General features: G+C 41.2%; 1 annotated feature.

Moving 5' to 3' along the window:
• Positions 2,917-3,703: an enhancer, noted in NCBI's record as "OCT4-NANOG hESC enhancer chr2:119401495-119402281 (GRCh37/hg19 assembly coordinates)". NCBI's record gives its function as "activates a minimal SCP1, AML or CMV promoter by ChIP-STARR-seq in naive and primed H9 embryonic stem cells {active_cell/tissue: H9 hESC(naive and primed)}" and the evidence as "EXISTENCE:reporter gene assay evidence [ECO:0000049][PMID:30033119]".

Below are 26,688 nucleotides of genomic sequence, written 5' to 3'. Positions count from 1 at the left end.
TTTATGAAAGTAGTGAATATATAAAAAACCCTGTAAATATAATACATAAAAGAACCACAAAATAATATCATAAGTGATTATATTTTAAAATGCCACATTAAAGTTGAACAAACCAAACTCAACAACATAATAAAATAAAAAGCACATTTCTCCTTGAAGTAGTCGAGCCCATTCTTAATGGTTTAATATTGAGGACATCTATCTCCATTCTAAAATGTACCTTTCTTTTTCATGTTTCAGCATGTCTCAAATTACAGTGTATTTTATAATCAAGGAAACATGACAGGATAGTATTACTTGTGCTAATCTCACTAGATGTTAAGAGGTCAGTAGACAAAATTAAACAACGACTTTTGCTTTAAAAATATTTAGGAAGCCATGAATCATAGGATACTTTTTAATATTATAAGAATACCACACTCATACCAACATTTTATATCAGTTAATAATAAAATACAAAAAAAACTCCATTAAATAGCAGAAATAAAACAAGAATGCCCACTCACACTGTAAGAACAAAAACAAAAGAAAGTAGTGGAGTAACAATCTGATAGGAGGAGGCGTACTAACCACCATTTGCAAATGGTGTGATTACATGGCTAGAAAACCCTAGATCATGGATGGAAAATCTTTTAGAATTAATAAGAAAGTTCAGCAAAGTTGCCTTATATGAAACAAATTGGCAACAATCACTAGATTTCCCAAATGCTAGCCATATCCTGTTAAAAAGGTATAAAGGGGTAAAAAGAAAAATCTCAGCAGCAAAAGGAAACAGGGTCCTATGCTCAACAATAACAAGAAAGGCCTGGGACCCATGGGAAGAAAACTATGTAATTTCATGGGAAGATGTAGAAATTCTGAATAAACCCTATGGTTTTGGATACAATGATTATACATGACAAAGATGTTCATTACTTTCAAAGTAGCTCCTAGTTTTAAAATAAATCTCCTTTTACATAGGATAAATGTACATAGATACAGAAGACTGCGAAATGAGAAAAAATATAGACAGACATTTAATTGACATGGGAATCGTAAAACTTTTCTTAAAGTAAAAAGATAAAAAATTTAAAAAAGCAAAAAGAAAAAGAATTTGATTACATGAAAAATTTGGAAGACAAATGACAACTTGAGCAAAATAGTTTCAAGATTATTGAAGCATGAATATTTTATATATAAGAAAAGCTTTTAAAATTAGTAAGTAAAACATTAAAAATATGATAAATTCTTAGGCAAAAAACATGACTGCTATGAGGCTGGGCACCCACCTCCTCCTGTAATTCCAGAGTTTTGGGAGCCTGAAGTGGGAGGATTGCTTGAGACCAGCCTGGGCAATATAGCAAGACCCTGTCTCTACAAAAAACTTTTTTTTAAAAAGGTAGCTGGCCATGGTGGTGCACTCCTGTAGTCCCACCTACTTGGAAAACTGAGGTGGAAGGATCGCTTAAGCTTAGGAGTGCAAGGCTGAGTGAGCTATGATAGCGCCACTGCATTCCAGCCTGGGTGACAGAGCGAGACTCTGTCTCCGGAAAACAAACAAACAAAAACAACAATTTAAAAGAGCCAGGTTGGGTGTGGTCACTCATGCCTGTAATCCCAGGAGTGATTGGGAGGCCGAGGTGAGTGAATCGCTTAAGGCCAGGAGTTCAAGACGAGCCTGAGCAATATAGAGAGACCTTGTCTGCACACAGTTGTTTTTTTTTTATTGTTTTGTTTTGTTTTGTTTTGTTTTTTTAATTAGCTGGACATGGTGACATGCACCTTGTAGTCCTAGCTACTCAGAAGGCGGGGCAGGAGGATTGCTTGAGCTCAGGAGTTTGAGTCTGCAGTGAGCTACGATCACACCACTACACTCCAGCCTGGGTGACACAGCAAGACCCTGTCTCAAAAACAAATAAAAATATGGTTACATAATTGGTGAAATAAATTAAAGGGACCAGATACACATATAAAAATGTCATTCTTGCTACTAGTCAATGAGATGGAAATTAGCACAGAAGACAAATACCAATTTTCTTTTTCATACTAGAAGAATAAAATAATCTGTCATATCAGTAATGCAGTGATTGAAAGGGCACTATCACATATTGCTAATTGAAATAGAATGTTGTACTTTTCTCAAGTGTAATTTCTTCATGTGCATCATGAGCCTCGAAACTTTTTATATCCTCAGGTAATTCCATTGTTTAGGAATACTGCTTCATGAAATAATCACAGACACAAAGGCTTATGAACAAATATTGATGGCAGACATGCAAAGTGACAGACATATACAAGTAACACAGGGAAAGATACAACTGAAGATGGAATATGATACAGCCAAAATAACCAAGTTCTCTTCATGAAAATAGGACACAAAATTACATACAGCATGTTCTCAATTTTGTTAAAAATATGTGTGTGTGTGTGTGTGTGTGTGTGTGTGTGTGTATAAAGTGGTTTCCTCTTATATTCAGGGGATATTTTCTAAGGGCCCCAGTGGATGCCAGAACCCCTGGATGGCAATAAACCTTATCTATACTATGTTTTTCCTATACATACATATCTGTGATAAAGCTTAATTTATAAATTAGGTACAGTAAGAGATTAACAAAAATAACCAATAATAGAATAATTATGGCAACGTATTGCAATAAAAGTTACAAAAATGTATTCTCTCTCTTTATTTCTCAAAATATCTTATTGTGCTATGCACTGTAACTGAAATGTGGATAAGGGCAGACTATTGTATGCAAGATTGTATATGTACAAACAATAAAGTTCTGAAAGGAAATATACCTGAAGTATTAACAATATTAATTTTGGATGATGGAATTATGAGCAAGTTTTATTTTCATTCTATTTCTCTGTGTTTTCCAAAGATTCTAGAATAAAACTAGAATGGTCGTAGGGAACCCAGAGAACACAGATAAGGAAAACCCGCAGATCCCTTTTGTCTCTATTCCTGCCCATTTCTTCCCTCTACCTCCCTATCCATGGAAAAAGATGAAAAAGCAACCTGTATTTGTTAAAGAGAAACATAACAAAATGACTTGTCTTCTATTCTATTCCTGGGAGATCATTAAGCACCAGGTGGCCTCCGGAGTATGGGAAGACAGCAGGACCCAACTTCAGCCTTGTGTCCCTGTCAGGTCTTCTCAGCAGGTAGGGAGCTCTACTCAGACAATGATGTCCCCACCCGTGCAGAGCATGAGCTGGGAATGGGGCAGAATATGTACCAGGAATGGAGCCACCCTGATGGGTGGGCCTAACTCCAACTGATAAGCCGACAAAGACAATTCAGCTTTCCAGGAGGTATTAGCTTACCAAGGAGGTATTAGGAACAGGTCTATTTTCTGCAGTCTGCAACGTTTCACAGTGACTTTCTTATCATTGAAATTAAAGATCCACTCCTTTCACTTTGAATGCATATTCAAACCCTTAGCAAAGGCAAGAACCACTCACAGCAGGAGAGAATAAGGGATAAGAGAGTTCAGTTAGCCAAAAAGAAGCCAGTTAAGGAACCAGGAAGAAAGGAGGACACACTCTTTCCGTAGTTTACAGCACAAAAGAAACTTGAAGCCAGGGGCTTTCTGACCTGGCCATTTTCCCCCCTCATTCAAATTGAAAAAAACCTACTCTGTCTGGAAATCAAAAGGTTTTTAAGTCTGGAAGAGTCATTAAATATTTTCAGGTTTGAGTAATATCAATTTTTCAAGATGAAAAGACAAAAAACAGAAAAAGAAAAAAGAGGTCCATGGTCTGATACATTTGGAAAACTTTGTATACAATATTGTCTTTTTGGAAATTTCCAATAAGCATTTTAAAAACTTCGAAAATTCCTTCAAGTAAAACAAAGCAATCAACCTCTTTTCTTTGTTTAACCACTTATTTTCTAAATTTCTTTGATCACTGTTGTAGATTTGTTGATTATTGGCCATCAATGATCCCTCTTATCCTTCTATACTCAGGCCACTCCTCCCATCATGAGTTAGACTCTCCTCTACACTTAAACCTAGACCGACCATTGGGCAGAAGTGACACTGTGTTCGTTCTAGGGTGTGCCCTTGGAGGCCTGACAGCTTCTGCTTCTGCTCCTTTAGAAGCCACCTGCTATTTTGTAACGAAGTTTGGTCTAGATTCCTAAATGATGATGAGTCAAATGAAGGGAGGCTCTGAAGGATAAGAGGTCGCCTTGGATATTCCAGGCCCAGCCACATTCCCTGGTGAATGTAGATACATATACAACTGGAGTCTCTCATGAGGCAGAAAAACTACCCAGCTGAACCCAGCCAATCCACAGAATGTAAGGAAACCAAATCATTGTTATTTTAAGACCTGCCTTTCATGAGGACTTATTACTCAGTAATAGATAACTGATACAACCATGGAATTAGTTTTTTGTCTCACATTTATTATCATCGGCAGATCCCACTGCAGACCCACTGGGAAATGATGATATAACTCATCACCTTTATAGTATACAGTTGACCCTTGGACAACATGGGTTTCAAGTGTGTGGGTCCACTTATATGTGAATTTTCTTCTGCCTCTGCCACCCTGAAGACAGCAAGGGTCTTCTTCCTCTTCTCTTCCTCCTCCTCCTCAGCCTACTCAATGTGAAGATGATGAGGATGAAGACCTTATAATGATCCATGTCCACTTAATCAATATTTTATTTTCATTAGGATTTTCTTAGTAATATTTCTTTTCTCCAGCTTACTTCACTGTAAGAATGCAGTATATAATACCTATCACATATAAAAAATATTAATCGATGGTTTATGTGACTGGTAATGCTTCTGATCAGCAGTAGGCTGTTAGTAGTTAAGATTTGGAGGAGTCAAAAGTAATACACAGGTTTTTGACTGTATCCCTAACTCCTAAATTGTTTAAGCATGAACTGTATGTGAGAAATATGAAGCCCAACAGATAGGGATTGACTCACCAAGAAACACTCAGCTAGTAAGAACCAGAGCTGGGTACCTTTTTAAAGTAGAAATTTACTGAGACTCTTCTCAGGCATGAGCATTTTGTTAGGCACTGGGAATATGACAGTGAATAATACTCAGCCCTTGCCTTTTAGGAGTTTCCAGTTTTCTGTGTGTGTGAGCTCGGGAGAAGGTGGATTAGAAACTAGCAATTAGGCAGAGAGCAAAGCGTGGTGATAGAGGTGGGCACAGGGTGCTGTGGAAGGCCAGAGGACAGCCCTAAATCCCTTGATGTTTCTGGGTCAGAGATAGATTTCTGGCAGTGAGGTCCTTTCAGCTGAAACCTGAAGGATGAAGCATGCAGTGGTTGTAAAACATGCCCACTCATCCTTTGACAATCATCCCCTCGAAAGGTAGACGAATTCCTCTCCTCTTTACTGCATTCAGCTTAGTAACTTAATTCTAACTAACCAAATGCAGCAGAAGTAATGGTGTATGACTTCCAAGGCTAGGCTAGGTACTACAGCTTCTCACTTCTCTCATCACTTGCTCTGGAGAAAGCCAGCTGCCTGTTACTGACACTGAAGCAGCCCTGTGGAGATTATGAGGAACTGAGGCCTCCTGTCAACAGCCATGTGAATGAGCCACCCTTGAACTGGATCCTCCAGCCCCAGTGAAGCCTTCAGATGGACGCTGCTGTAGTTCATGTCATGGTTGCAACCTCATTGAGAGACTCTGATGAGGAACTGCCCAACCAAGCCACAATCATGAATTCCTGACTCACAGAAACTATGAACCAAAAAATGCTTGTTGTTTCAAGCTGCTAAGTTTTGAGATAATTTAATAGGTAACAGTAGTTAATGAATACAAATAGTGTTTAGTCACACACAAAGCAGAAAGTACTCTGTTCAATGTAGTTAGAATATACAGGCAATTGGGGAGTGGCATGGCCTAGGCAATAGCAGACCCATCTGACTTCTTACCCAGTTGTCTATTGTATCAGTTGTGAGCGTTCTTGCAGGTTAAAAAGAAAAAAAACAAAGCAAAAACCTGACTCAAATTGGCATAAACAGTTTCTTAAAATAATCTACAATTTTATAATCTCCCTTAATAAGAAGTGTAGTAGTAGTTTCAGTTACAGGCATGGTTTTTATCAGGGTCCTAGCTCTGCTCTTCCATGGGTGGGTTCTGTCCACAAGCTTTTTTTTTTGTCAGGGGGGACAGACAGGATTTCACTCTGTCACCCAGGCCACAGTGGAGTGGCATGATCATGGCTCACTGCAGTCTTGAACTCCTGGCCTCAAGCAACCCTCCCACCTTAGCCTCCCAAGTAGCTGGGACTATAAACACACACCACCATACCTGGCTATTTTTTTAAATATTTTCTGTAGAGATGGAAAACTCACTCTGTTGCCCAGACTGGTCTTGAACTCCTGACTTCAAACAATCCTGCCGCCTTGGCCTCCAAGAGTGCTGGGATTACAGGTGTGAGCCATCATGCCCAACCTACAAGCTAGCTTTTCTGATGATAATAAGACAGCTCTCAGCAGCAACATAGATCCTTGCTTGTGTCTAACAGAAGAAAAAAGACAAACTTTTCTATTATCACGGACCTTAAATACTTCCCTTCAATCATATTAGAACACCTTAGATTGCATGTGCACCTTTCTTAATTCAGCCAAATTAATTTCATGAGCAGATTGGCTTTAGCCTATCTAATCCTATAACTGGCAAGAGAGATGAGATCCTCACTAATCAGGATACACACCCACTGGGGCTGGGATGGAGTCAGCTTCTCTTCAGTTCCCATCTCACATGCGATGGGAAGGGTATGGATTCTTTCAGGAAGAACAAGGAGAATTGACGCTGGGCAGGCAATCTACACTTTCTACCCACAGCTAATTTTGGCTTATTTCTGGACATTTGGAGATGTTATTCCTTGGCAGTTTTCATGTCTGGATCTACTTCTGGACTTGGCAGAGGTGTTGGTTTCAGACTCCCAAGGGCTCCTGACTCTGTACCATCACCAAGCTCAGGGGAAGGATCAGGATGAGCTGGACGAAGATATTCACCCTGAAAGGTCATCAGCCTCTTCCACTATGCCCCAATAATTTGCCCAACCCAACCACCGCTGTCCATATCCCGGGCCTCAGTCTCTACCCACAAATTAGGCCTTGACCAGTTGTTCTTCCAGCAGTTGACCCTGAAATGCACTGGCCCAGCTTTCCTAGAACGAGGCCTCAGACTATACCATAGGACCCCCAAATAGACTGTGTACTTCAAGATGCTATTAGAAAAACTACTATTCCTTTTGAAGCCTCGCCCACCACCCCTGTCAATTGTCTGAGGTTATCAATGGAAGGAGAATATATGTGGGGGGGCTGACCCTCACCTCTCTGACTTATTATTCTTGGGACTCATTTTCCCTTCTAAGAGGTTGAAATGAAGATCCTCTTGCAAACCCTAAACTAGCCTTTCATGTTCAATCTCAAGTAGGACACAGCCTGTTTATTTTCCTAAGGTTTATATATTCAAATAAGTTTTCTCAAGAGGAAATAGATACACACGTAATAGATAGTTGACTTAACTACCTTCCTTTTGGGGTCTCCATGCCACTGTTACCATGCCTGGCTGTCAGCCTGATTTCCTGTGGCAGATGCTACCTTTGAACTTGACACCTCAAACTTGTCCAGACCTCTACAGGCAGATCCAAGACCATAAAGCCCAGAAAGAGATGACAGTTTCCACCTCAGAGGTTTAAGACCAGCCTCCAAGTTGCTGAGATGTCCTAGCTGAGGGTCCATCTGTATCCTGGAAGACTAATCATACATCCCTTCCCCACCCTGGGAAACTCTACCTCCTACCACTGAATTGTAACTTCACTCTATGTCAGTCATTTCAACCTTGGCTGCATGTTGGATTCACCTGGAAAGCATTCTAAATTCCAAATGCCCAGGTCAAATCCCAGAATATCCAGAACAGCAGAATCTCTGGGGCTGGGGCTGGGGCCTCAGTATTTTTAAGGCATCAGTATTTTTAGCCTTCTCCTTCCCCACTTACCCCACAGGTCATTCTAGTACATAGCCAAGGTTGAGAACCACTGCCTTACGCTCTTAACTGGGTAAGCATTTCCCAGCCAAATAGTGGGGCTGGGGATTTTTCATTACCAGAGATGTTCACATGGGAGCAAAGAAAATATGAGTTCCACAGGTTTTTGTGGGGCTTAGCATCCGCAGATTTGTGGGCCAGGAGGCTCTAGGCTGTCTCCTGGCTCCTAAAACCAGGCATGCAGGACTCTGTGGCACAAAGAGTGTTCAGCTCTTAGGGATGTCATCTCTTCTGATTGTAACAAAATCGTCAATATTTATCCAGCATTTACTTTAAACAAGCACTGTTCTGATTTCTAGATGTCTTAGCTAATCTAAGACTCCTAACATCTTATCTCATAGATGAGAAAATGTAAACACAAAGAGGTTAAGCAATTTGCCCCAGCTAATACAGCCAGCGAATGGCGAAGTTGAGATTACAATTCAGGCATCTGGCTCTGAACCCATTACTCTTTTTTAACCTTGGCATACTGGACCTGTTGGTCTCAAACTCTAGGTTGCATCAAATACACTGGATTGGGTGAGTGAATATGGATGGAGGGGAATGGGGGTTAAAATGTAGAGTCTTGAGCTCCATGCCAGGTTCTGACTCAGCAGGTCAGTTAGGCTAGGAATTGTTACTAGTCAAGAGGGTCTTGACTGAAAGTAGTCCAGGTTCTTGGCGTTTTGAACGAAGAACTGGACAAAACACCCTGCAAAGCAAAGAAACAATGAAGCAACGAAAAACCAAAAGCAAGGATTTATTGAAAACAAAAATACCCTCCACAGTGTGGGAGCGGGCCCCAGCAGTGGCTTAAGGGCCCAGATACCGAATCTTCTTGGGTCCAAATACCCCCAATAGGTTCCCCTATGGCCACCTCACGCTCACCTCATGTAAATGAAGTGGGAGCCTGCAACTGGTCTGATTGGTGGTTGAAAGCAACCAATCAGAGGCTGAGGTGGAGTTACAAAGGTCACATTCCTGTGCAGACATCTGATTGGTTGCAAAAAGCAGCCAATCAGAGGCTAAGGTGAAGTTACAAAGTTGCCAACGAAGAGTTGGCCTGCAATCAGTCTGATTCGTTGCAGACAGTCAATTTCCCATCTGCCATGCAGAAAAGGTGGAGGGTTTGCAAAAGGAGTAGCCTCTGGTCCTTTTGTTACTTAGGTGTGGAATGTTAGGGTTTTCTTTCAACTTAGTTACAGGAAGTTGGTATGAAACAGCCTTAGGTTCCCTGCCTCCAGACCCTCTTCTCCAGTCTCAGAATCTGCATTTTTAGCAAGCTTCTTAAGTGGTTCATAAAGTCCTTAGATCATGCTTTAAAAACTTAAGCTTAACATCATCAAAGCACAGGTTGGCAGCTGGAAGGTACATTGAGGTTCATCTAAGATCACTGACCTTTTATAGTGCTCTTTTAAGCCAATTGATTTCATTCCACTTTATATTGTTCCTTAAGGCCAATGCCTCTGTCTAGGTACCCTGCTTCTTGACACAAAGTCCAAATCTTCAAGGAAACCATCCTGGTCTTCTAGATTTTTTGTATTCATCCTCAAGCAGCTGCTTCCTGTTTAGTGAATAAATGGGCAAAGAACTAACTGGCCTCTGTTGCTGAGCTCTGAGAAGTATGAAAACACTATCTTTTGAGAAGTGTCTGTTTATACCCTTTGCCCACTTTTTGATGGGATTGCTTGTTCTTTTTCTTGTAAATTTGTTTAAGTTCCTTGTAAATTCTGGATATGAGACCTTTGTCAGATGGGTAGATTACAAAAATTTTCTCCCATTCTGTAAGTTGCCAGTTCAGTCTGATGATAGGTTATTTTGCTGCACAGAAGCTCTTTAGCCCCTAATTAGGTCCCATTTGTCAATTTTGGCTTTTGTTGCAATTGCTTTTGGAGTTTTCGTCATAAAGTCTTTCCCCATGCCTATGTCCTGAATGGTATTGCCTAGGTTTTGTTCTAGGGTTTTTATGGTTTGGGTTTTACGTTTAAGTCTTTAATCCATCCTGAGTTAATTTTTGTATAAGGTGTAAGGAAGGGGTCCAGTTTCAGTTTTCTGCATATGGCTAGCCAGTTTTTCCAGCACCATTTATTGAATAGGAGATCCTTTCCCCATTGCTTGTTTTTGTCAGGTTTGTCAAAGATTAGATGGTTGTAGATGTGTGGTGTTTTTTCTGAGGTCTCTGTTCTGTTCCATTGGTCTAGATGTCTGTTTTAGTACAAGTACCATGCTGTTTTGGTTACTGTAGCCTTGTAGTATAGTTTGAAGTCAGGTAGCGTGATGCCTCCAGCTTTGTTCCTTTTGCTTAGGATTGTCATGGCTAATGGGGTCTTCTTTGACTCCATGTGAATGCAGCCAACAAACATATGAAAAAAGTCTCAACATCACTGATTAGAGAAATGCAAATCAAAACCACTATGAGGTACCATCTCACACCAGTCAGAATGGCAATTATTAAAAAGTCAAGAAACAACAGATTCTGGCAAGGCTGTGGAGAAATAGGAACGCTTTTACACTGTTGGTGGGAAAGTAAATTAGTTCCACTATTGTGGAAGACAATATGGCGATTCCTCAAGGATCTAGAATGAGAAATACCATTTGACCCAGCAATCCTATTACTGGGTATATGCCCAAAGGAATGTAAGTCATTCTACTATAAAGACACATACACACATATGTTTATTGCAGCACTATTTACAATGGTAAAGTCATGGAGCCAACCCAAATGTCCATCAATGATAGACTGGATAAAGAAAATGTGGTACATATACACCATGGAATACTATGCAGCCATAATAAATAATGAGATCATGTCCTTTGCAGGGACATGGATGAAGCTGGAAGCCATCATCCTCAGCAAACTAACACAGGAACAGAAAACCAAACACCACATGTTCTGACTGATAAGTGGGAGTTGAACAATGAGAACATATGGACACAGGGAGGAGAACTACACACACTAGTGCCTGTTGAGGGGTGGGGGGTGAGGGGAGGGAAGTTAGAGGAGGGGTCAATAGGTGCAGCAAACCACCATGGCACACGTATACCTACGTAACAAACCTGTATGTTCTGCACATGTATCTCGGAACTTAAATTAAAATAAAAAATAATAATAATACAAAAAAATCACCATTCCACCAAGCAGTTGCTCAGTGAGGCTGGCACAGAGACAAATAATGCTATTTACGCCCACAGCTTGCTGCAGCTGCATTTCCCTTCTAGGAAAGCAGTCTTGTCCACTGCTTCTCACATGGCAGTTATGTGCATTTGAATCACCTGAGGATCTGTTAAACAGCAGAGTCTGATTAGGTCTTTCTAGCCAGCTCCCAGAGGAAACAGAAGCTACTGGCTCAAGGATGGGACTTTGAGTAGCAAGGGTAGGATTCCTTTCTAGGATGGGTCGTGCTGTGTTGAGGGTTATTTTGAACATGAAAGATGAGACTCCCCTGAACATGATCGTGTGAATTCAGGAGAAACAAAGGGCTGAAGCACTCTGCATAGGAAGTCGGGAACATCTGTAATTTATGGAGGCAGCTGAGAGGCAGAATGTGGATAGAGAATAGACGATAGTCATGGCTGGCATTCCCCGCATTGTTGTAAGTGCTTTGGCTATTTTAACTCACTTAATTATCACAACAACCCCACGAAGTCTGTGCTAATATTATGCTCATTTTGTAGATGGGAAAATAGGGTGATGGATAGGTTAAGTATTTTGTTCATGGTCACTGGTCTAAGTAAGAATTTGCTCACAGGCATTGTAACTCTAGCAGCTGTTCTCTTAACCCAACACCGCAGTGCCTCATGCAGGGGGCCTAAGCAATGTGGCAAAGGTACCTGGTGGCCTGAGGTGAGGAAAATCCAGCAGTGGTAATGGCTCAGGGACTTCTAAGAAGTTGGGTGCTCATTCAGTTTTTGGGTGTTTGCTGGGCTAAGATGGGCCATAAATTTCTTCTGCTTCCTGATGCCTAAACCTATAGTACAACTCAGCCATACATATAAACTTTCATTTTGGTTGCTTTGGGAAATCAAAGGAAAAGAGGCCATGCTCCAGGCTGGGTCTAGATCAGAACGCAATGGAGAGACTAGATGCAGGAGGCGAGACACGGATGTGGAGACAATTTGAGGGAAGCAGGGAAGAGGAGTATGGAAAAGCAAGATGCTAACAACAATGACGAAGAAGTTCCCCCAGATTCTGGGGAATACTGGGAGTAGGAAACGCTGAATTTTCCATTGTAGACAGAATGAAGGTATGGAGCCATTGTTATTTGAATGCTGAAGTAAAGGTGGTTCCTTGAATTTCCTGGGAACAGCAAACCTATGCAAATTCAGGATATTTCTGATTGTCCTGGTTAGGTTAGACTAGGGATAGAAAAAGAGCCAGGAAGATTTTGTGTTGTTGTCAAGTAGACAGACCTGGGGTTCAAGGGACTTGGAGGAAGAAAGGAGACTGTTACAGCAGGCTGTAATGAGAGGCGGTAGCTTTAAACAAGTCGCACGGCCCAACTCACATGTGTGTCCTGCTGTTTTCAGAGAGAAGTGAGCACAGTCCTGCCTGCTCTGTGAAGGATGTCATCCCTACCCCCAGAGAGCTCTTGAAGCCCTAGAGTCCTCATAAAATCTGAAACCCTGCTGTTGCATTTGTCCAGAGCCCAGGTAATTTGTAGTGCCAGGAACACTTGAGTTTTCTGGGCAGACAAGTAAACCCCTGCCACATTCACTTAGGCTGAGACCCAAGTGAGTTCTTCTGTCTGCATGCTCCTTCTTTTTGCAAGAGTTTGGGCCCAGCTGCTGCAGTCCCCATCATCTTTGAACTGTGGATTATAGTTTACAAAACTGCTTCCCACACACGCACAGACACACAGCTTATTTTATTCTCATGACAGCCCTCTGATGCAGACTGAACAGCATTGTCTCTATTTTATGAGTGAGGAGACAAGCTCAGAGAGGTTGAATAGCTCACCAAGGACACACGGCAGCAGTATGCCAGGGTTAGCAGATCTGAGGTGTTGAAAATGAGGTTTCTTATTTCCAAGTTTCTTATTTCTATGGGTCTCAGTCTGATGCTCCCTTGAGAACAGTAAGCTTTTCTAGCTAAGAAATGCCTCTCCGGTTGCATAGGAATCACCCGTGAAGTCGTTGGGTCTGCCCGGTGCTGCTGCTCACTGAACATCTGCCTTTGTAGAGCCCAGTCTCCCAGCCATCTGCTCACCTTGACATGTCCCCAGACTTGGACCCAGCGTTTGCTTAGTGTGTGAGTCAAGTAGCTTCTCCAGGTTCCATTGTGGTGCTTTTCATTACCCACTCAAGCCTCCCTCTTAAACGGAGACAAAAGAGAAGGGTGGGAAGAGCCCCCACTGCTAGATCTGCATGCAGTGATCACCTCCCTCATTTTGTCAGAATATTTGTTGAGTATCTGCTGCCTGCCTTGCTCTGTGCTTGGCTCCCAGGAACAGTGACAAACTAGGCTGGCACATCTCCGACCCTCCTGGAGCTCATGGTTTAGAGGAGTAAGGCACCGTCACACAGATAATTTTAGGTCCTTGGAAAAGGATGATAAAGAAAAAGGAGAATATAACCAGATCCAACCTCTTTTGGGGGCCAGCGGAGGCTGCCTGGAGGAGGAGGTTTCTAAGCTTAAATCTGAGCGATGAACAGTAGTCTGGAGTAGGGAGGAGGTGTAGGGTAAGAGAAGGAGGGACTTGTGCAAACACCCGGAGGCAGAAAAAATCTCGGTTAAATTCAAAAACCTGAACTGCCTGGAACCAAGTAAGTGTGTGTGTGGGAGGGAGTGGGGACAGGATGGGAGGGACTGGAGGGAGATTGGGAGTGTTACATCATGAGGCTGAAAAGGTCCCCAGAGGCCAGATAGTGCAGGGCCTTTGGCCTTTATGCTAAGGGGAGTGGGATAAAATGAAGAATCTTGGATGAGAATAGCAGACTCTGCTTTTCACTTTCAAAAGATCTCTCTGTCACAAAGGATGACTTGCGGCACTGGGGATACAGGCCGGGCTGGAAGCTGGAAGCAGGCTGTGGCAGTGGGCCGGGCAGGGACTAGGAGCTGGCCAGGGTGTGGCCCATGATGGTGGAAAGAAGTGGGCTGATGAAAGAGAGAGAGAGAGAGAGAGCGAGAGAGAGAGAGGAGGCGGAATGGACAAGGAGATGCTGGGGTCAAGGATGATGTGCAGAGTTCTGGCTTAGGCACCAGGTGGATTGTGGCCTCTTTTCCGGGGTGGGAAAGAATGGAGCAGAGCAGCATGGGTGTTCAGGTGCGGCTGTGTTGATTTTGAGAGACCCACCGAGAAGCTGGAGTCTTGAGTTTGGGATGAGATGAGAGACCTGGGATAGGTCTATCATTCTGGGAATGCCAACCCTATGGTAGAGGCTGCAATCACACAGGGTGGGTGTGAGTGGGGAGAAGAGAAGGGCTAGGACAAGCCTTGAGAGACCTCTGCTGAAAGCAACTGAGAAGCACCTGCTGGAGAAGCAGAAAGACAACCAGAGTGGGGACCTCATTGGGCAGGGGCGGGGCGGGGCGGGGCGGGGCGGGGGCGGGGGCGGGGCGTGGTGGCAAGAAGGGGTGTTTCCAGAGGAAGAGTGGTGAAAGGTGCCAGACGCTCACAGCAAGTAAGATGTAGGCGGCAAGTTGTCCACGGTTGCCTGGAGGTCATTATAGGGAAATCCCTGGGGGAGTCCAGGGGCTGGCTAGGGAATGGGAGGTGGGGAGGTGGAGTTAGTGCACTGAATCAGGTTCAAGTTTGATGTTGTGATCCTGCAAAGGTGCTTTCCCTTTCTGGGTCCCAGTGTTCTCACCTGAAAAATGAAGGGGAAGAACTGTCAGCTCTAACAGACATTCTCTAATCCCAGCAAAATGGGATTATTCCCATTAGCAGCGTGTAACTGCGAGAGCTTTTTAATGACATGCACTTCCGCTGGCTCCTCGGGGCTGTCAAGCCTAGTGTGACAGACCAACTGGGAAATTTCCTGCTCGGCTCCACATTTCCTTCGCTTGATTTCAGGTCATTGCCCCTAGCGACGTTCCTCTCCAGACTATCAAATATTCTGATTTCTGCACCTCCGGAACACTTACTCAGTGGCATAATACTTTCCTTTTTTTTTTGGTCTTAATCCTTTGCTCCATCTCTTTCCTCCTATGACCTTGCCAAGTACATATATGTAAAAGCCAGTTCCTGAGCATTTACCTAACAATAGTTGTGTTCTAGGCACCAGTCCATGTGTGTGCACACGCGGTGATGGCGATGGTGCAGCACTGGGGCTCAGCCATAAGCGTAGGGAGTCATAGAGTCTCACGGGCTTTCGAGGGCTAGTTTTTAGGTTGAATTATTTCGAGACAATTCTGGAAAGGAGGAAAAAGAGAGAATTTTATAATTAAAAATTACTTTTAGGAATCTCCCAACCTATTCTGGTTTGCAGGAGTTGCCCGATAAGAATGATCTAAAAAAAAAAAAAAAATTAGTTTTAGGCAATGCCTCCTGCCAGTTCAGTTTAGCAGGAAGTTGTTTACTAGCATCAGGCCATTCAGAGATGGAGGAGACATCAAAAATCACCCTTTCTATTTTTGTTTTTTCATCTTGCACTGTCCAGTGGGGTAAACTGGGTCCCAGGCAGTTAAGCAAGTTACCTAGCTAATTGGTAACATTACAGACAATATAAGATTGTGCGTGGGGCTCCTACTGTCTTCTCTGAACACAACAGAGCATTGACTATGCACTGAACACTTGGCTGGGCACCATGGAATGCAGGTAACCTTGACCTCCATCGAATCTGATTGGGGAGCCAAAAGGAAACCCTTGTAGAACAATTGAGAGCTGTATTTACAGATGACCCCTGACTTACAATGAGGTTACATCTCCATAATCCCATTGTAAGTTGAAAACATGGTAAGTCAAAAATGGATTTAATACACCTAACCTATCAAACATCATAGCTTAGCCTACTCTACCTTAAACATGCTCAGAACACATACATTAGCCTACAGTTGGGCAAAATCTTCTAACACAAAGACTACTTTATAATAAACTGTTGAATAACTCATGTAATTTGTTGAATATGATACTGAACATGAAAAATAATGGTTTTGCACCATTGTAAGGTAAACAAATCATGTCAGGATGATATGTGTATTCATTATATGTTACAAAAATGCTGTAGAAAGAAAGGCACCCTGTGGGTCTTGAAGCCCCGAATTTTCAAACAGAAAGGATGAGGAAAGGGGCAGAGGGGCCCTAAGCTGAGAGGTATGAATCGCAGTGGGGTGAGGTGACTGGTTGGGATGGTCTCATTGGACCAGAGACAATGTGTGAGGAGAAAACAGGGAGAGATGGAAGAACTGGAAATGTGGGATCAGGTTAGAGGGAGATCTGATGTGGCAGGCAAACCAAGAGATACTATAGAAAAATAGTACACTTACCAATTTTGTATGAGTATTATATACATTATTATATATAATATATACATAGTTGTATGTATATACAATATGTGTATATACATGTATACACATTATGTATTACATGCAATATAATATATATAATACACACACACACAGACACACACACACACAATAGTAACCTCAGAGGTTTCCCCTTCCATTCCTGCAACAGAGCTCTTTGGGAATTGTCCGCTTTGCTGCTCCCTTCTTCCCTTCTTCCCTGGAGATAGAATCAGGCTGAAAGAAGATCCACAGTCCCCCACCTGGTAGGGGTAAGAGGTGGAGCTAAGTGGTCAAGATGATGTGAGCAAGATAGCCCAGAAGAGAGCTTCTGTGGCAGGTTGAGAGGCTCCCAGGTGTTGGGGACCACATACTGAATCCTTGTAAAGAGTTGGGAGAAATTGGAATTCTACTTTAGAGAGGTCGTTTTGTGTGTCCGTTAATTTAAATTAGGCTGTACGATATACCTATCCCTTGCTTAGCATCCTTTTTTTTTTTTTTTTTGAGATTGAGTCTCACTCTTTCACCCAGGCTGGAGTGCACGTGATCTCAGTTCACTGCAACCTCCACCTCCCAGGTTCAAGCAATTCTCCCTGCCTCAGGCTCCTGAGTAGCTGAGATTACAGGTGCCCACCACAAAGCCTGGCTAATTTTTGTATTTTTTAGTAGAAACAGGGTTTCACCATGCTGGCCAAGCTGGTCTTGAACTCCTGACCTCAGGTGATCCGCCCGCCTCGGCCCCCCAAAGTGTTGGGATTACAGATGTGAGCCACCGCGCCCGGCCTAGCATCTTTAATTTGTTCCCCAAAATGTTATCTCTAAGAGAAAAGCTATTGAATGAAGGAAATATTTCCATTATTATAGTGGGAAACATTAAGGGACATTTCATCCGACAATTTTCACAAATAGAAAAATATATCAACTAAACAATGAAAACAAATTTTAGTAGTAAGAACAACTTGAAAGTAAATACATGCTTTTTATTCATAAAGCAAAGAATTATTGCACTCACCAAAGAAAGAATAAATGGCTTGACGGTAGGTGATGGTGGAGGCCAGGGAGTCATTCTTTAGAAAATGCTCTCTCTTTTTCTGTGCCATTTCCCTAGATATTTTATAACTCTTTATAACTCTCGGGCAACTGTGGTTATACTCAGGCTGCACTTTAAAAAAGTAATAGCACAGAAAAACACCTTTAAACAAAATAAAAATTAATTATGCCAGTGCACTGAAGCACGTGGAAATAACACACTCTTAACAGACTGAAAACTTATAGAAGATGCTACCTCTTTATCTCCCTTGCATGGTGTATGTAAAGCAAAATGCTTTGGCTTTATTCAAACATGAATTCAGATTTGTCCCCGATGATATTCTTTAACTAGAAACTGCAGTGTCAAGTACATCGGTGAGCGAGTTTTTGCCTGAAACCACAATGTCAACATTTCACTTCTTATATTATATTGATTGAGGGTGTTCTGGGGTAAACAACTTGTTGTGCTGAATGGAAAGCAGGTGTTGTCTGAAATGGTATCATTTTTAAAGAGCCCTTGTGGTGGAAAGTCCTTAAAAGGGAAATAGGGAATAGAGTAAACCAGACTGTTACTTCCAAGCTTTTGCCTATGAGGTTTCTTCTGTCCAGGACAACTTCTTTCTCCTTTTTAGCCTGACAAACTTGTATTCAACTTTTCAGGATTAACTCAGATGTCAGATTCCATGGGGAAGCTTCTTGGGTCTGCCCCTTATTGCCTTCACCATCTTGATTTGGTCCAGTGCTTTTTCCTCCATGCTCCTGGAGTCCCCGCGTTTCCAACTATCACAACACTGCTATCCACTTTCATCATTGTGGTCTGTTTTCCTCATTAGACTATACGCTTCGTATAAGTGGTGACTGGATATATTCAGTGTCAATAGTCCCTGGCAGAGTGACTGGTATAGAGGAGGTATTTAGTAAATTGGAAACAGTTAATGTGTGTACAACATCATTCAGGAAGGAATTAAGAAGTCCATTTTCAACTCGGTGGGAAGTGTATTAGTGCTTTTAGTGCAGTGGTAAATAATCCCCATATCTCAGTGGTTTACAAGGTCCATTCCTCATTTACTTTAATGTGGGTTATGGGTAGACTAAGAATCTGAGTCAAGCTGTGTGCAAATGAGGACTGGCCCAATGTGTCTCCTCATCTGGGACCCTGTTCTTAAGGCAGAAGACAAAGCATGCCTAGTTAAGCCAAAAGACATCACTGGGTTGAAAGCTTTGGCTTAGACATGGATTGGGAAGTATACTCTGCTTACAGGGGGACATTGGACAAGTCCCATTTAAATGAAATGGAGATATAGTCTCTCCTAGAAAGGAGAGATGGTTAGTTGTAAATAATAATATAATAATGTTATATTCACCATGGATAACAATATTATTATATTGTTATATAACAATGTAATATACAGGAATTTTGTCTTTTCTCACTCCCTTTTAAAAGTACCAGCTTTGCTGGGCGCAGTGTAATCCCTGTAATCCCAGCACTTTGGGAGGCTGAGGCCGGTGGATCACGAGGTCAGGAGATCGAGACCATCCTGAATAACATGGTGAAACCCCCTCTCTACTAAAAATACAAAAAATTAGCTGGGTGTGGTGGTAGGCACCTGTAGTCCCAGCTACTCGGGAGGCTGAGGCAGGAGAATGGCGTGAACCCAGGAGGTGGAACTTGCAGTGAGCCGAGATGGCACCACTGCACTCCAGCCTGGGTGACAGAGCGAGACTCTGTCTCAAAAAAAATAAAAAATAATAATAAGAATAATACCACCTTTGCATAGGCACGGTGGCTCATGCCTGTAATCCCAACACTTAGGGAGGCTAAAGCAGGTGGATCACTTGAGGCCAGGAGTTTGAGACCAGCCTGGTCAAGATGGTGAAACCTGGACTCTACTAAAATACGAAAATTAGCCAGAATTGGTGGTGCATGCCTGTAATCTCAGCTACTTGGGAGGCTGAGGCAGAAGAATCACTTGAACCTGGGAGGCAGAGGTTGCAGTGAGCCGAGATGGGGCCACTGCACCCCAGCTTGAGTGACAGAACAAGGCTCTGTCTCCAAAAATAAAATAAAAAAAAATAACATAAAATACCAGGTTTATTGAGGTATAATTAACATATAGTAAACTATGCATTTAAAATGTAGAATTTGATAAGTTTAGTACATTTTTCACCTATGAAACCATCATTACAATTTAGATCAGTGGTAGAGAAACTGTAGCTTGTAGGCTACATATGGTTTTGCAAATAAAGTTGTATTAAAACACAGTTATGCCCATTTGTTTATATATTGTTTATGACTGCTTTTGCTCTACAGTGATAGAGTTGAGTAGTTGTGACAGAGTGTATAGTCGCAAAGCCAAAAATGTTTGCTATCTGGTATTTTAAAGAAAAACATTTGACAGCCTTGATCTAGATAATGAACATATGCATTACTCTTAAAATTTCTTCATATTTCTTTTAATTCCTCCTTTCTATCTCTTTCCACAACCCTCCCACACAGGTATCCACTGGTCTTCTTTCTGTCACTATTCATTTGTTTGCTCTTCTTTTGTATTTTCACCAGCAGCATTTAAGAGTTCCAGTTCCTTCACATCCTTATCAACACTTGGTGTGGTCACTCTATAATTTTAGCATTCTGATGAAGGTGTAGTGGTATCTCATTGTGGTTTTAAATTGCATTTCTTAATGACTAGTGATACTGTCTTTGTTTGCTTGGGCTGCCATAACAAGATATCATAGACTGGGTTGCTTAAACAACAGACATTCATTTTCTCACAGTTCTGGAGGTTGGAAGTTCATGATCAGGGTGCCCGCATAGTCAGGCTCTGGTGAGAGCTTTCTTCCTGGCTTATAGATGGCTGCCTTCTCATTTGGTCCTCACGTGGGCTTTCTACAGTGTGTGCATGTGGATGAGAGAGGGAGGGAGGAGAAGAGACAGGGGGAAGGGAGGAGGAAAAGAGAGCTCTCTTGCTTTAATTATTAAGGCACTAATCCGATTATGAGGGTTCCACTCTCATAACCTAATCTAATTACCTCCCAACAGCTCAGTCTCCAAATACCAACATGTTGAGGATTAGGGCTTAAATATATGAATTTTAGGAGGATACAAACATTCCTCCATAACAGATATTAAGCATTTTTATGTGCTTATTTACCATTTATATATCTTCTTTGGTGAACTGTATGTTCAAATTGGAAATGTAATTTATTATTATTATTTTTTGCATGTGGATATCCAGTTGTTCCAGCACCATTTAATCCAATTGCCTTTGCAATTTTGTTGTAATTGTTCCTATATGTATGAGTCTATTTCCAATCTCCCTTTTCTGTTCTGTTTATGCAGTTTTGGTATGCATTACATCCCATTTTCTTGGTTACCGTAGCTTGGTAATAAGTCTGGAAATCAAATAGTGTTAGTCATCCAACTTTGTTTTTTTCTTCTTAATCAAAGTTCTTTTGGCAACTTTGATAAAAACTTTGTTGTTTTGGCAAAGTTGTTTTTGCATTTCAATAATAATTTTAGAATTGCATTGTCAGTTTTTATAAAAAATCACCAGTAGACTTTTTGTTTTAAAAATTGGCAAGCTAATTTTAAATTTTATTCAGAAATGCAAGAGAAATACAAGAGCCCAAACAACTTTGATAAAGAAGAAGAAAGTTAGAGGAATAACACTGCCAGATTTAAGGGCTTACTATAAAGGCGTAACAAACAAGACACTGTAGTGCTTGTATAAAGATAGACATAGTGCAATAGGACAGAATGGAGAGCTTATAAATAGACATACATATATTTGAATAATTAATTTTCAACAAAGATATCAAGTCAACAGAGAAAGTATAGTCTTAAACAAATGGGCCTATAAGAACTGGACAACCATAAGGAAAAAAAGTTCAACCCCAGTATCATATCGTTTACTGAAATAAACTTGAAATGAATCAGACCTAACTATAAAAGTTAAAACTTTAAAACTTCCAGAAGAAAATATGAGGCAAAATCTTCACAATCTTAGCGGAAAATATGAACAATGCATATATATGTCAAAGGACTTGTGTCTAGAGAATATAAAGAACTTTTAAAACTCAATATGGAGACAACAAACAACCTAATAAAAATGGGTATACATTGTGGGTGGGAGTATGAAATAGTACAGTCAGTTCAGAAAACAGCTTTTCAGTTTCTTATAAAATTGAATATATATTTGCTATATGATTCAGCATTTCCATTTCTAGTATCTGCCCAACAGAAATAAAAACACATGTCTATGCTAAGACTTATACAAGACTATTGACTATTGCTTTGTCATAAGAGCCCCTAACTGGAAACACCCCAAATGTCCATCAGCAAATATAATGGATATACAAATTATGGTACATCCATACAATGGAATACTACTCTCCATTAAAAGGGAACAAACCCCTGATGCACACAGCAACATGGATAAAATGTTTTGTTGTGCAAAAGAAACCAGGCATAAAAGAGCCCATACTGCCTGAGTCCATTTATGCAAGCATCTAGAACAGAAAAAGAAGAAAAGAAAAGAAAAGAAAAGAAAGAAGTGACTGACTGGTTCTGGGGAAGGATTGACCAACTGACCTAGCATATCTGGCCCATGTGAATCCAAAGTTAATAGTTACCTGGAATGTGCCCTTTCATTGCCTTTTTATGTTGGAAAACAGGTGCTGCCATATTGGACCATGAAGATGAGAGCTCATCCTGCAAGAGATAGCAGGTGGTGAGCTGAAAGGATCCCAGTCCCTAAGGGTCCCATGCAACATAGCCGGCTGCTTACCTCTGGATTTCTATGTTAGAGAAAGTGAGAAATAACCTGCATTGTTAACGTTACTACTATTTAATCATTTAACTTGAACTTACCTAATATAATAATCTAAAATTCTCCAAACAGAATCCAAACCATTATTTAGCCTTTCATTCTACTTTTGTTGAACACCTTCTGTGTATTAGATGTGATGTTTTCATAAATGCTTTCTACTGATTAGTGTTCAATACAAAGAAGTACGTGGAATTCTCATGCCATTAATAAATGTCTCTGCATCTCATTCCTACCTTGTGTTAAGGTCTGATATCAACTTGGCTGCAGTTACTAGCCAAAGCCATTTAGAGATTAGATTGCCAAAGTAGGAAACCTCATTCTATCCTTGGTTCAAAGACAGCACCAAATCCAATGTGAGTGTGTTGTTCAGAATTTAGAAATCTATCTTTGTTGCCTTGAGTACTATGAAACTTAAGAACTTAGAAGAAACATGTCAGAGAAGTTGTTGTGTGTTGTATGTTGAAAGTTCAACTGGGACTGAGAAAGCTCACAAAGCTTTTCAGGATCATGTCTGGTCTCTGTATTGGGTTGACTAGTGTCTACCAAAAATTCACGTCTCAGAATGTGATTTTCTTTGGAAAGAGGGTCCTTGCCAATGAGGTCATACTGGATTGGGTGGGCCTTGAATCCAGTGATTGGTGTTCTTATACAGAGAGATGTAGAGATACAGAGACTCAGACACATTCAGGGAATAAGGCCATGTGTTGAAGAAGGCAGAGATTGGAGCACTGCAGGTACAAGCCAAGGGACACTCAGGATTGCTGGCAACCAGCAGAAGATGGAAGGAGCAATGGAAGATACTTCCCTAGAGCAGCAGTCCCCAACCATTTTGGCACCAGGGACCGGTTTCCTGTAAGACAGTTTTTCTACAGATGTTGTTGGGGGTGGTGGATGGCTTTGGGTGGATTCCCTGCAACTAGACAGTCCCATCTGGGGGTGATGGGAGAGAGTGACACCCGAAGTGTCTTATGTCCAATCTACTGCATAATCTCATTTTAATTGCTGTCACTGTGGAAAACCCTATTTCACAAAGATAGGGTGTTTGAAATGGAAGCAGGCTTTTCAGTGCTTTGTGGCAATTTCAGGATATTCCACCTTGACTTTAATCCGGAGCGTATGGAAATTTGAAGTTGTCTCAAACACATTTTTAAGGCCACCAGATGCAGCTGTATAAATGAAGTACATCAATTCACTTGCCATAAAGCCTGCCACCAGATGCAGCTTAATTGTCATTTGCCACTCACTGACAGAGTTTTGATATAAGTCTGCATGCAATTTATTTATTATGGTCTCTGTGCAGTCAAACACCTTTGCTAATGTTAATCTGCATCTGCAGCCCCTCCCCAGCACTAGCATCACTGCCTCAGCTCCATCTCAGATCATCGGACATTAGATTCTCATAAGGAGTGCACAACCTAGATCCCTCACCTGCGCAGTTCACAATAGGGTTTGTGCTCCTTTGAGAATTTAATGCCACCCCTGCTCTGACGGGAGGCGGAGCTAAGGTGATAATGTGAGCTACGGGAGCATCTGTAAATACAGATGAAGCTTCACTTGCTCACCTGTGCTCACCTCCTACTGTGCGGCCTGGTTCCTAACAAGCAATGGACAGGCTCTAGGGACCCCTGTCCTAGAGCCTCCCGAGGGAGCATGGCTCTGCTGACACCTTGGTGTCAGATTTCTAGCCTCCAGAACTATTAAAAAATATTGCTGTTATTTTAAGCCACCTAGTTTGCGTTAATCTGTTATGGCAGCCCTGGGAAACTAATGCAGTCTCCAACATTTCAAATCACCTTTTCTTTGTTTTGGTGACATTCCTTACATGATTCTGTCTCACCTTGGATGTTTATTCACACCCAACTCCTTGAATAAGGCATTATTCTAAATTTCATTTTTCTAAAATTTTCATTCCACTCTGATGCATAAAAATTACTGTGCAACTCTACCTTTTACTGAATGAATGCATAACCTGAATTTTCTTGCTTTAGTGAAGCAGGCCAAATCTGTCCTTTCATCTGGGTAAGTGAAGAAGGTTTGTAGACGCTCTCTCGTCAGTGTGATGCAGGAGGAACAGTGTCTTGTGGAACTCGTGTTTAAGATGACACCAGGATCTTCCACAGCCCTGGCTGGTGTCTGGTTCTGTTGAAATGACACTTCCCAGTCCAGCCCATCTGTTATGCTTCATGCAACTCTAATTGACAACATTGCAACAGAGACTTGCAAGCATTTCTTCAAAACACTTCAAATTTCCTGTGATGCAAATCCCTTTAGCTTAATAAAGCTATAGCAGAAATAAAGACATCCAAGTGGATTCTGAAAAAGTCCTCAGAACTTCCTGAGACACTGTCAAGATGCTTTGGAAGGCCACTGGTAGTCACGCAGTCAGACTGCCCTATTTGCAAATAAGTGGGGTAAGTCGAAAGCTTTTTTTTTTTTTTTTTTTTTTTTATATTCAACTAGAAGCTCCTTATGCTGCTGACTCTGAACACAAAGGAAAACTATGGACCACTTTGCAACTGTACAGGGCAACCCATTTGTGAATCAGGAGATATCCCCACATGGGCTGTAGGAGAAAACTGCTACAGTCTATGGAATGTTTCCAGATGTTAAAATAATTGATGATATTCTAAAAACAAACACCAGTTGTTACATTTGGTTTCAACATTTTTGTTTTATTTTCTGTAATGGTTGACTTTCCTCAATGAATGATTTCCATTTCTCCAGGACGCGTAACACTTACCTCTGAAGGTGTGATCTCCCAACACTTCATTCCCTGGATAGGTTTCTTTTTAACAAGTTAAAACAGACATAACTAGGGCACTGTTTCAGGCTGAGATGACAAATGTGGAACTGAAGAATATCGAAAGCCATTCAAAAATTTGTTTGGTAAAAGACAGTGCTATATAATGAAACCAAACGCACAGATCGGAATTTTAAAAGAAATCCTAGTGTGAAGATAAAAGGACATGAAAGATAATAAATGTTGAAATGATACACCACCTAATGGTATCCTGTCAAGGCAGAAAGATAATATGATAACTTACAGAGCATCCCTGAGTCTCTATACATACTTGACCTAGAGTTTGCAGGGAAACAATCTTTTTGTTTCATCTGGCTTATATTAAAAATAGGAAAAACAAAACCAGCATTTTTTCCCTCCACTCTCACACAGATGGTGAAAAAATCCATGCAATTTTTAACTGTCTGAAATTCTTTAAAGCAATATAAGACAGAAAGAATTATTAAATCACTTTTCCATTTCATATAATGAAAAACTGCACTACCACAGAGGGGCTGGGACCATCAATTCTGGAGCAAGTGGGAGCTCCAATTGGTCCTGCAGGCAATCAATCACCTGGCGGCCCTGGGGCCCCTTCTGAGAAGCCATCTTGCTGTAGGAAAAAGAAATTTAGAAAATAATAAGACTAAAGTCAAACCGTTCATTAGCATTTATATAATTCAATTTTGAGATTTTCTTAGTATATAATTTACATACAAGACATACATGTGGATGTTTGGAGGTATATCCACATGCATTTACCCATTTATTCTTTTATTTATTAATTTGTTTATTCGCTCATTAAAAAAAATACTAAGTGATTACTCCAGGCATCAGGGGTCTAAAGATGTATAAGGCTTGGGGCCTCTCCTTAAACTCAAAATCCACTGAGGCAAAGATGGGCAAATAAATGACTATAATGTATCCTGATAAATGTGTAATCATTGTTATGTATATTTGACCATTTTCAGGTATTCTGGGGCCAAATTCAGAGCTGTTAGTCAACGGGGATTTGTCTTACCTCTTCCGTTAACTTACAATTTGAGGGAGTGATAAGCTCTTTTATTTTTTATTTCCTTCTGCATTTGGACTTGCCTCCAATACCAAGGATATTTGATGGAGCTTATAGTACCAAATCTTCAATATCTGAGTGGATCTGGATAAGAGAGGCCTTTTGCTCTTTGAGGGAGAACCTGGCTAGAAAGACTTACTGAGAGCAATGGGTCATCACAGACTGTAGATTCGTTGAGTCCCTTGCTACCAGTCTGTAGATGCAGCAGGCACTCCCCGCTAACAAGGCTCCTCTTTCTAGGATTGATATCTGGTTGGGGAAACTGGATGGGTATCTACAACTACCTACCCACATATAAATCATCACTTTATAGTGTCTCAGTTTCCCCATAAGTAAAATGGAGTTAATGCTAATGGGGAGTTAGTTGGAAACAACTGTCTGACGCATAGTAAGGCTGTGAAAGTGTTAGCCATCACTGTAGATATTGCTATCCAAGCCTGACTTGTGGGAGCTGAACATGCTAATGAAGGCACAGCCAGAAAAAGGCAATCAGATTTCTGGTTTTTTTTTTTTTTTTAATTTTTTAATTTTTAATTTTT

This window comes from Homo sapiens, chromosome 2 (assembly GCF_000001405.40).
Source record: "Homo sapiens chromosome 2, GRCh38.p14 Primary Assembly".
In the NCBI taxonomy this organism is placed as follows: domain Eukaryota; kingdom Metazoa; phylum Chordata; class Mammalia; order Primates; family Hominidae; genus Homo; species Homo sapiens.
This window is presented reverse-complemented; position numbering and strand designations above follow the sequence as displayed.